The 12,173-nt window shown below is 35.0% G+C and overlaps 1 protein-coding gene across 4 annotated transcripts in view; it reads left to right on the top strand.

Annotated features, from left to right (window-relative positions):
* The window catches only part of PPA2 (inorganic pyrophosphatase 2), a 104,994-nt gene extending 93,136 nt beyond the window's left edge, over window positions 1-11,858 (top strand). For all 4 annotated transcript variants that reach the window (NM_176867.3, NM_176866.2, NM_006903.4 and 1 more), the window contains 2 exons: window positions 10,062-10,098; window positions 11,182-11,858. In NM_176867.3, coding sequence (NP_789843.2) covers window positions 10,062-10,098; window positions 11,182-11,210 — 66 coding nt within the window. In that variant the 3' untranslated portion in view covers window positions 11,211-11,858. The remainder of the gene's footprint in view (window positions 1-10,061; window positions 10,099-11,181) is intronic.

Genomic DNA, 12,173 nt, shown 5'->3' with positions numbered 1-12,173 from the left:
ATTCACTACTCAGAAATTACCCTTCTAGGTACACATCTTACAGAGACACTATACATGTGTTTATGATCAGAAATGGAAAAATTAGAAACTGAATTACATGTCTATTGATAAGAGACTGGGTGAAAAAGCAGGACACATATAGTATGTACCATTTATGTATTTTTTTAAAAGCAATAGACATATTTTTTATGAAAACAAACATATATGGTATTACATTTTAGAAACATAAATAAGAAAAGTAAACGTCAATTTCAGCACGGTGGCCAGAAGTTACCTCTGAGAAGGGAGGGGAGTAAATATGATTTTTATTTTTAATAAATAGGGAGAAAGACTTCAGTTATAAAGATCTGAAACAACAATATTAACTCTTCTAAATCTAGAGAGTAGGTATGTGTTATAATGGTCTCTGCATACAGAATATGTTTGAAGTACTTCGTGATTTAAAAAATTTATATGCCCAGAAAAACAATTTAAAAAAATTAATGAAGCCAAAAGCTAGTTCTTTGAGAAGATGGTAAAACTGGTAAGCCTTTAGGCAGAATGATCAGGAAAGAAAAGAAGACACATTTTCAAAGTAAGGCACAAAACAAGTAATATCACTGCTAATTCTACAGATATTAAGAGAAAAATAAGACAATGTGAACATATTTTATATCAATAAATTTGACAGCTTGCATGAAATTGACAGATGCCTTGAAATATATAAACTACCAAAGCTCACTGAAGAAGAAGTAGGCATAAACAAATTCAATTTGTACTTAAAAACCTTTCTATAAACACGACTCTAAGCCCAGTTGGCTTCTACTACTATTGTTCAGCATTGTACTGAAGGTTCTAGCCAGTGCAATAAGGCAATAAAAAGAAGCAAAAGCCATTCAGATTGTGAGGGAAGGGGCATGAATGTCTCCATAGCAAGTTCAACAAATTCTACCTAAAAACAACTAGAATAAGTGAGCTTAGCAAGATTGTAGGACATGAGATTAATATAGCAAACAATTGCAGACCGGGCACAGTGGCTCACGCCTGTAATCCCAGCACTTTGGGAGGCCAAGATAGGTGGATTGCTTGAGGTCAGGAGTTCAAGACCAGCCTAGCCAACATGGTGAAACCCCATCTTTACTAAATATACAAAAATAAGGCGGGCATGGTGATGCACACCTGTAATCCCAGCTACTCAGGAGTCTGAAGCAGGATAATCGCTTGAACCCAGGAGGCAAAGGTTGCAGTGAGCCGAGATCGCGCCACTGCACTCCAGCCTGGGTGACAGAACGAGACTCTGTCTCAAAAAAAAAAAAAAAAAAAAATTAGCCAGGCGTGGTGGCGGGTGCCTGAAATCCCAGCTACTGGGGAGGCTGAGGCAGGAGAATCGCTTGCACCTGAGAGGCAGAAGTTACAGTGAGTCAGGATCATGCCATTGCACTCCAGCCTGGGCAACAAGAGCCAGTATATAAAAATAGTTGCTTGAGATATCTATCTATCTATCTATCTATCTATCTATCTATCTATCTACACATATTGATAGATACACACATATAGATATATATATACACACACATCTATATATATAGATATATATACATCTGTATATACAGAGATATATATCTCAAGCAAGTATTTTTGTGTACTGGCTACAATTAGAAAATAATATTAAAATTACATTATTTATAATGGTATCAAAAATACAAAAGAAACACTTAGGAATAACTCTGGCAAAAGTATGCAAAGAACCTGCACCCTGAAAAGTATAAAATATTGCCAACAGACATCAGAGAACTAAGTAAATGAAGAGATACATAATGTTCATGCCTTCAACATTGCATGTAATATAGTATTTCAGTATTTTGATATCAGTTCTGCTAAAGTTGATATATAGATTCAGTCCAATGTCCATCAAATTCCAATATACTTTTTTGTAGAAATTAACAAGCTGATATAAATAAATACTAAGGACCTAGAATAGTCTAACCTTGGTAAAGGACAAAGTTAGAATCATAACTTTTCCTGATTTCAAGGCTTTTTAAAAAACACTGCAATAATCAAGAGAATATAGTAATGGCATAAAGATAGATTAGTGTAACCAAATCTAGACACAGACCTACATATATTTGGACAACTGATTTTCAAAATGATATTTTTTTCAACAAATAGTGCTTAAATAATTGGTTATTCATATTTTTAAAAACACATTTCAGTTTTGCACTGTATGTAATTGTCTAAAATGGATCCTAGACCTAAATTTAAGGCACAAAACTTAAACCTATTTTGACTTTGGGTTAGACAGTATTTCTTAGATATGACACCAAAGGCACAATCTGTTCTTTAAAATGATAAATAGGACTTCATCAAAATAAAAAATTTTTGTTCTACAAAAGGCATTCTTAGGAGAATGAAAAGAAGCTACATATTACAAGAAAATATTTGAAAATTATATATCTGATAAAGGGACTTGTATTCAGAATATATAAAGAACTTTCACAACTCAAGAAAACAAAACATTCAGTTTTTAAAAATGTACAAAATATGGCTCTGTAAATGGATGGATGACCCAAAAATAGAATTTTTTAAAAAGTACAAAATATATGAATGAGCACATCACCAAATCTATAAAGAAGGCAAAGAAACACATGAAGTGATGCTCAACTTTAGTTATTAAATGCAGATTTAAAACCACAGTACATGCTAATACACACTTTTAGGATGTCTGAAAGTAAAAGGACCAGGCATACCAACTGTTAACAAGGACGTGGAGGAACTACAATTCTCATTTACTGCTGGTTAGAATGCAAAATAGTACAACCATCTGGAAAACATTTTGGTATTTTCTTGAAAAGTTAAATGTATACATATCATGTGATCCATGTGATCAAGTCATTCCACTCATATATATTTACCCAAGACAAAAGGAAGTGTATGTCCATACAAAGACTTGTACACAAATGCTTGCAGCAGCTTTCTTTGTGATAGACAGAAACTGAAAACAACCCAAATGTTCATCAGTAGATGAATGGATAAACAACTTGTAGTATATTTATGAGGAATACTACTCAGTAATAAAAAGGAATAGATTATTGACACATGCCACAACATGGCTGAATCTTAAAAAAAAATATTGAGTGAAAACAGATATATCATACACATTTTTTCATACCATTTATATAAAATTTTAGGAAATGCAAGCTAATGTATAATGATGCAGACCAGATCAGAGAGAGCCAGGAAGGAGGATTTTACAGTCTCTTTTATAAGAGCCATGGAGAAACTTTTAGGAATAGTGGTGAATATGTTTATTATCTTGATTATATTGATGGCTTCATGAGTGTATATATGTCAAAACTTATCAAATTACAGACTTTACATGTAGTTTATTTCAGGTCAATGTTAGTCTAATGACACATCTTTTGAAAAAAAATTTTTTTTTCTGAAGTCAGATTATCTGAGTCCAAATCTCAGTTCTTTAATTTATAACCTGAAACAAATTTTAATTTATTTACATCTTTGACTTCTTATTTATAAAATGGGGCTTATAATAATAGTATCTTATCAGGCTGTTGTGGAGAATTGAATGAGCTAATCCAGGTAAAAATGTCCAGCAGATAAGGTATTCAATAAATGTTGGGTTTTATTGTCATTACTGCTATAAGTGTAGTTGAGTTAAATCGATCAAAGAGAGAGAAATCCCTTCTATTCCAGCCTCTTCTTTCCAATACTTCTAATGATGAGGATATCACTCCTTTATGAGTTGACCCATTCCATTGTTGGGTATTGGAAAAGTCAGCCTTACTAATTTTTCTAGACATATGAGAATTAGTCCTACTTTCAGAGACTTTAATAGGAAGAAAGGGAGGAAGAAGAGGTGGAACAAGTGGAGGGGAAAAGTAGTTGGTTTAACCACTCTTCCCATCTGGGAATTCTTTTCCCCAAAATTCTCCCATGTGCTTTGTTTAAGCACTTTCCTCTTTGAGGAAATAGAACACTCTAGGCATTATGCAAAGTTGGGGAAATATGAATTAAACAATGTGTGAGGTTCTCTAATACTTGGTACTGTAGTCATTTTACTGGAAAAATGATCGAACTTTATGAGGCTCCACACACAAACTGGTGGCATACAGAACTGAGGAGAGAGCCATATTCAGTGCTAAAGGATTCCCAGACTTGCTTCAGACATGTGCACAGCCTAACTCCAGGGATTTAAAACTCTTACAATCTAGAATTCAGGCCAAGAAGAGTAAGTAGCTATACACTTGCTCAGTTCTAGGGAACCAGACCCATGCCACTGTGAACCTCTAGCTCATAGTAGTGATGGAAGAAGTTCAAAAGCTTAATGACTTCTAAAACTGAGCAGATAGAATGCCTCCCAGAGAGGTCTCAGCACCCTCAGTCTGACTGTTTTTGCCTATTCATCGACAGATTTCCACTAAAACTAGTCTCGGATAAACCTGGAGCACACAAGACTCAGAGATGATAGTGATGATGGTACATAGGATGCTAAATGGATGGTGTTTTGAAGTAAAAAAGTCAAGGGGGAATTGGAACTTCAATATAAATGTATTATTTCTTGCTACATTTGGTAGATCTTATCTCTCAGTAAAGCAACAGTATCCATAGTGTTGTATAAAATTTGGATGGTTGTCTTATAGTTGATGCAAGACTTCTTAGCTGAATTGTAAAAAGCAGTGCATTCAGGAGGCCAAGGCCATAAAGTGAATCCCAGTGACGGTTAACATCAGCATGTAGTGTGGCCATCTATTTCATCCCAAAACGTTATCAGTCATCCCATAAATGCATATTGGCATTGATGTAGAGACTCAAAGATGAATCCGGGTGAAGGACTTTAGCTGAATCCATCAATATAAGCATTTCATGTGAGTCTGAGGCATTGTTATCATTTGGAATAATAGCACTTAAAATCACACCAAAGCCATGTTTTATTTTTCCTAAGGATCACAAGATGGATTAATAAAGCAGTCAGCTTAGAACCACACTCTTAGAGGTTCTGCATTTTAATAAGAAAATAACCAATTAATTAATATTTTAAATAGTTATAAGTAGGAGAAGTAATGACCAGCAGAAGAATGGTGAAGTTCATTGTCATGTTCTCGGATAGGACTTGTAACAGCATGTTCCTCAAATGGTTCCTTTGGGCATCTCCTTTATCTCTATTTAGGGCTTTCCTGATAACATGACAGTAACAGCTTCCTTGCATGGTCCACAAGGAGAAGGCATTCCCTGGCATCTGGTTATTGAAACTGAGTCAGCTCAGAACTAATCTCTGAGGTTAATCTGGCTGGGATACCCTCTTATCACCAGGGTTGCTTTGACCCTTCAGACTACCTATACAAGAAATACTTCCCTCTATGGGCACGCACTTTAATCAAAGCTGTATCTCCATCAAAGAGGACTGCATTTTCTTTTAGAGTAGAACTGATCTTAGGATGTAATTTTCTAGTAAGATCACACTACAATATTTATGTCATACAGATTTGTTTTATTTATGACCCTGAGAATGAACATCCTTATGGGAATTCATTTAAAAATGTTTTAAATAATGCCTTTTCTTCATAAATCAGGGTCTGATTAGAACCAGACCCTGATTTATGAAGAAAAGACATTATTTTAGTTTTATTTCTCCCTCTTCTTTCTCTTTTTGCCCCTTAACAGCTTTGCTGTGCATTACCACCGGATGGTAGACAAAGTTAGTGAAAGTAAAACCAATCATTTACTTAGCTACTAGCCATTTAAATGCATTCTTGAAGAGGAAGTATTAATAGATTAAACTTACATGAACTTAAAATATTTTTATGTCTTCTTTATGAATAACTAAGAATTGAACCTATATTGTTGATTCTAAAGCGAAAAATCAGAAAAGGATTGTGTGAAAAGTAAAATGAATGTAGCATAACTGCTTTATGAAGTGTGGAAATACAATGCAGAAAGACAATGTCCGGCTGGGCACAGTGGCTCACACCTGTAATCCCAGCACTTAAGGAGACCGAGGCGGGTAGATCAATTGAGTTCAGGAGTTCCAGACCAGCCTGGCCAACATGGTAAAACCCCGTCTCTAAAAAAAAAAAAAAAAGAAAAAAGAAAAAGAAAGACAATGTCCAAGGCACTTTAATTCAACTAAAACCTTGCATCACCTGAATGAAAAATTGGGAACCTATTTTTTTCCCTTTAATTTTGAACTCTTTTAGTAAAATGACAGAATGTCAATCCCTTTGTTATATATAGTAAAGCAGGATACTTTATATTGGTTCAGTGTGTCATGTTTGTTCATTTGGACAAATGTAACTTACAGGTGAAAATGCTTATAGGGACCTGGTAGAGTTATTTGAGAGAGAGACACTTAAGTACAGAGCAGTTGTATTAACAGTTTATATTTGTTTAAAATACAGTTTATATATAAACAGAAAAGAAAGGAATACTTTGGCAATGAAACCGTTAGAGTTTTTGAAAGCAATTAAAGATATAAAGATAATGAGAAGGATTTTTGGGATGAGGAAGAGGAGTAGATAGCATTTTTATTAATTAATTATTTAATAAAAGACACAGTCTCACTATGTTGCCGGGGCTGGTCTCAAACTCCTGAGCTCAAGTGGATCTACCTGCCTTGGCTTCCCAAAGTGCTAAGATTACAGGCGTAAGCCACCACACCCAGCCGTGGAAGTAGCATTTTTAGAATGAGACTATAAAACAATACTCATTGTTGGTGGAGAATTTATTTTGGGTGAGTAGAGGATGTCCACATTCTTTTCCTACTAAGAAATTAGATGAGGTAAGTAATTACATTAAAAGAAATTTAGAAGTAAGTAACTAAAAGTTATTTTTTTAGTTTCTTACAATGAAAATGTAATCATAGTATCCCCTGAGAGTGAAGAGTTGGGATTAGTAATCTTTTGGGTACTGCTCCATACATCTCTTTGTTCCATTTTCTGTAAGTAAATGTTATATTTGTTGTTATGTTTAAGCACCAGGAAATCATTGACTGTAGATAAAGAGTCAAATAGCTGATGTTTATCATGAATCCATTATTACTGATGTTTTCAAATTTAAATGACAGTTTCTCTTTTAATATGGTATTTTTTTAAATTACCTTCAAACTTTATCATTATCTCTGAGTGTCAGACTTACCTATGATGGGGTGTGTGTGTGTGTGTGTGTGTGTGTGTGTATTTAAATATATATCATATGGCTTTGTATATTCTGAATATATTCTATCAATTGAGAAATGTATTTTAAGAATGAAGAAATAAAACCATTCTGGAAATTATTTTAAAATAAAATGTAATGATAAATGTTTTAGAGTAGCTTGCCCATTTCTTTACTGTAATACTTTTTAGGTTAACGAGAAGCTGCTCAATTATTCTATTTTTATACACTGTACATTTTATTCCTCTGAAATGTTTGGCACTCCAACAAGAAGCAGCTGCTAATTTTAAGCAGGAAATCTAAACAGCTAATTTGAGAAAAAAAATTTTGTATTGTTATACTGTCCTTAAATTGTGCAGGACACAAATAGGCATCCTGCACAATTTAAGGAGTATATAGCAATTTCATAGAATAAGCAGGTTAACCCGTTTTATGGTCTGTTTAGAAAAACAGAGCCGTCAAATCCCAAATGCCTAATCTCAAGGAGTACAATTTTTATGTTGTGTTACTGTCATACCCAGATTTAAATTCTACCATCCTCAAAACCAACGATGGTTAAGAATTTTTCTTTGTGCACAAACTGAGTAGAGATTTTATTCTTTTTGAAGTACTTGGAAAAACTAAAGGATGTTTTTAAAAATTGTAATTTTAGGCCAGGCACGGTGCTCATGCCTGTTATCCTAGCACTTTGGGAGACCAAGGTGGGAGGAAAGTTTGAGCCCAGAAGTTCAAGACCAGCCTGGGCAACTTAGCGAGACTCCATCTCTAAAACAAACAAACAAAAAGATAAAAATTGTAATTTTATTTACATGGTTACACTATCCTTTTCTTTGATATAAAGAAAATAAAACAAAGTCTGTTTGTTCAGCTTTTTTCTTAAAACAGAGTAGAAAGAGTAATAACTTTAAACTATTTATGATTTGGGGGAATTTATTAGGATTCTCCAGAGAGTCAGAACCAATTGGATGTGCATATACAGAAAGAGATTTATTATAAGGAATTGGCTTACATGATTATAGTGGCTTGGCAAGTCCAAAATTTGCAGTTGGGCTGGTGGGCTGGAGACTCAGGAAAGCAGATGATGCAGTTCCAGTGTGAAGGCCAGCAGCCTGGAGACCCAGGAGAGCCAGTTGAGCAGATGAAATCTGATGGCTGTCTCCTGGAGAATTCCCTTTTGCTTGGGACAGACTAGTCTTTTTGTTCTATTAAAGCCTTCAACTGATCAGATGGGGCCTACCAACATTATGGAGGGTAATCTGCATTATTCAGAGTTCACTGGTTTAAATGTTAATCTCATCTAAAAACACCCTCCAAGTTGACACATAAAATTAGCTATCATAGGGAATATTTTAATATTGCTGAAATATAAATCTTTCTTCTGGTGGAGTGGTGGCTATTCAGTACTGCCCTTAGATTTAAGCACGGAGAGCCTTCCTCAGATCCTGCTTTTTGGAGGGTCATACTTGGCCGTTATTCAGTCACATATCTCACCGTAGGGCAAGAAGACCAAGGGGCCAAAGTTATAGATTCACCAGGAGGCATGCCCCCATTCTAGACCACATCCCCACAAGGGGCCAAAGTTAGACTCACTAGGAGGCATGCCCCCATTCTAGACCACATCCTGGCTACCCAGGACCCTGGAATCCTCTGCCCAGACAGGTTTAAGCCTGTTTCTGGGGCCTGTGTAGAAACCAGGCTACACATCTCCCCAGGTCCACGCTCCTGACTCTATGGACTTTGTACCCACCGTTACTTCTGCAGGGGCCGGTGGGTGGCTGTTTGGAGGTAAAAGGTGCCTAGATATGTGGGCTACTAAATTATTACCCATGTGCAGATGAGGCCCTTGAAATACAGAAAGGAGCCTGGAATAGGGAGAGAAGTGGAGCAGGATGAGGGCCTCTTTTCCTTCCTCTGCTGCATCCAGACACATGTCTCTAAGGTGTCTGGAATCCTAAATGAGAGTTTCCAGGTCATTACAAAGGTATTTGTATCAAGATAGTGAGATGGAACACATTTCATATATATATTCATCAGTTGTTAGCCTGAGTTATTGTAACTTTTAAATATTTAGATATATATTTGTACATTTGGACCTCTGCCTCAGACTTAAATGCTAGAGGCAGGTATTTCCTATCTATTGAAGGTCAGCAAATTCAGAGAATTAGAAGTTAATTATTAAATTTGAAATCTGAAAAGTGTGTTATAAAATCAGGGTAGGGTAGGGTTATTGCTAGGAAGGAAGGGGTCATAGTTGGGGAGGGGCCTGGCATGTTTCATTTCTCTACTTGGATGGTGGTCACATAGATGTAAATTCTAATGATTCTTTAAACTAAATCTTTATGGCTTCTTCCTTATGGAAAATAGATCTTCCAATGGAGTGCTAAAAAGTATTATTCTTAATTATGGGGAAAAAAACTATTGCATAAAAATGTTTCTTCAAACTTGTCTGTTCTCAGAATCTTGGCCCAGCCATCAGAATAAATAGAAACAATAATTTAAAGTTCTAGAAGACAGATAAATTTTTTAGCAAGTGTGTGTTTTATAGCAAGCATGAACAAACATATATTTAAATATGTGTGTGTGTGTGCTTGATTTTAACTTTCAAGACATTAGCTGCGGAAGCCATTGAAAGAAAACCTCTCTTCTCATTCCTAGCTGCAAGACCTTCAGTGGATTCCATGGGTTAAGATAAAAAATATTTTCAAGTATTTTTATTTTACTCTAAGTCTGTTGTTTGTTTATCTGAAAGAATGAACAATGATAATGAAAAGCAAAGGGGAATATTTACCTTTTTCAGGTTAGAGATCCATTGTGTGTAAACTTTCTTCTATAATTTCGTGAAAAAACTTCTGGATGCGCTTTCCACATATAAATATTTATTGTAACAGAGATTCTTTCTCTGTTTTTATTTCCAGGTATCATCTTCACCAAATAAAGAAAGTAATGAAGAAGGTATAGTATATTTTGATTCATTAAGAGTAACATGTATAAATTTATTTGTTTACAGTAGTGGAAGCCAAAAACTAAAACTAAAAATAAAATAGATAAATTGAAAAGCTGTATAAGCTAAGTGAAATATTTTTAAAATAGTCGCTAAAATTTCAGATGAAATATTTTCTAACTCAGAAAATAAGGAGAATGCATTTAACTACTTTTCTAGGTTAGAAAATGATTTGATTGTACGGTGACTTTTTTTTTCGCTGAAGTACTGAGATATTCCAGCCAGTTCTGATACATTTAATTTTAAAAGATTTAATTAAAAAAAAACTCTTACATTTAGATATTTATCTTTTTTTAATGAATCACTTATTTTAGCTGAAGATCTTAAAATCTATAGTTATAGAATTAAAAATAAATATAATATTTTTATTACCATTATTTGAAGCTGTTTTAATAAACAAGTAAAAATGCTCTGTAGTGAATTTTCAGAATTTAAGCATGTGCACACATCATTTGTCTTTCAAAATATTGCAAGATTTTGGCTTTTTGTTTTAATATAAAATATTAGAAGAACATTCAACTTGCAGATTTGGAAGAAATATGAGAACTATTTACTGTGAGTCAAGTATGACATGTTTAGAAAGGAGTAAATCCATAGACATGATTTCATGGGAAAGCAAACTGTATTCCTTATATGGTAAGCTAACAAATTGTTTCTTTGCGATACTATCCCATTTGGGGCATTTTTTGTGTAGTCAAATTTTACAATACAAGCTTTATCTAAACCTTTCATATTATAGCACTTCTATGTTGTCTGCTAGAGACTAAAATGACCCAGAAAGATACAAGAAATAAAGTAGGAAGGCTCTAGAATTTTTAATGTAGCTTTATATAAGGCTTGGGCCAAATGAGAGAACTTGGGACGAAAGTTTGAAGGGAAATAGCTTTAAATAGAGAAATGCAACTTTAGATAGCTTATGACTGTTTGTATCTGCCTAAATACTTCCTAAAAGTCGAAATTAAATTTGATTAATCACTCCCTTCTCCCTCCTCTTATCCCTTCCCTAATACCCTCTTTCCCCATTTTAAATGCAGAGCAAGTGTGGCACTTCCTTGGCAAGTGATTGAAACATCTGAAATTCTGCTGTCAAGATTCCCATCTCTAAGGACTCCAAGTGCTAGAGACAAGGGGGTCTATGAGCATTTACTGACTTCCTGTTAAAACTTCATTTTTTCAAACTTTTTGAGCTATGCAATATATAAATAAACAGTAAGAATTTTAAATTACTCTCCTTTGGACATTTATTGATATAAAAAGAAGATTTTGGCCAGGCACGGTGGCTCATGCCTGTAATTTCAGCACTTTGGGAGGCCGAGGTGGGCAGATCACAAGGTCAGGAGTTCAAGACCAGCCTGGCCAGTATGTTGAAACCCCATCTCTATTAAAAATACAAAAATTAGCCAGGCGTGGTGGTGCATGCCTGTAGACCCAGCTACTCAGGAGGCTGAGGCAGAAGAACTGCTTGAGCCCAGGAGGCAGAGGTTGCAGTGAGCAGAGATTGTGCCACTGCACTCCAGCCTAGGCGACAGAGAGAGACTCCGTCTCAAAAAAAAAAAAAAGATTTTGTTTCATTTCATAGCACAAATTTAGAGGCATTGAGTTGACCATTTCTAGTTTCTATACCTGAAGGAACCCATTGATTTTACCAGTTTTTATTTCTGTAGATTGGATGTAAAAATCACAGATTCAATAAATTAATAAACTTTGTGTAGACAACTGTTACTTTCATTTTCATACTATATTATTCCTTTTCAAGTCCATTGCTGGTAGAGGCTTTAAATATTTGGCCAACCTCTACTCTCTTATTAGTGCCTGTGTAAATGTGTTACATTTATTAAGGCTCCTTCCTGTAATTTATTGTTTTGGAAATCCTAATCTCTTTTTGATTCTCATTCATTCCCCTTATGGTGATGACTCTGGGGATGACCCTCATCATCTCTACAGGATGACACTCTGTAGTGACTACTCCCTCTATGATGGTGACCTCTATAACGATGACTCCCAAATCTCCATAAGCAGCCCAGGT

This window comes from Homo sapiens, chromosome 4 (genome assembly GCF_000001405.40).
Source record: "Homo sapiens chromosome 4, GRCh38.p14 Primary Assembly".
NCBI classification, from domain to species: domain Eukaryota; kingdom Metazoa; phylum Chordata; class Mammalia; order Primates; family Hominidae; genus Homo; species Homo sapiens.
This window is presented reverse-complemented; position numbering and strand designations above follow the sequence as displayed.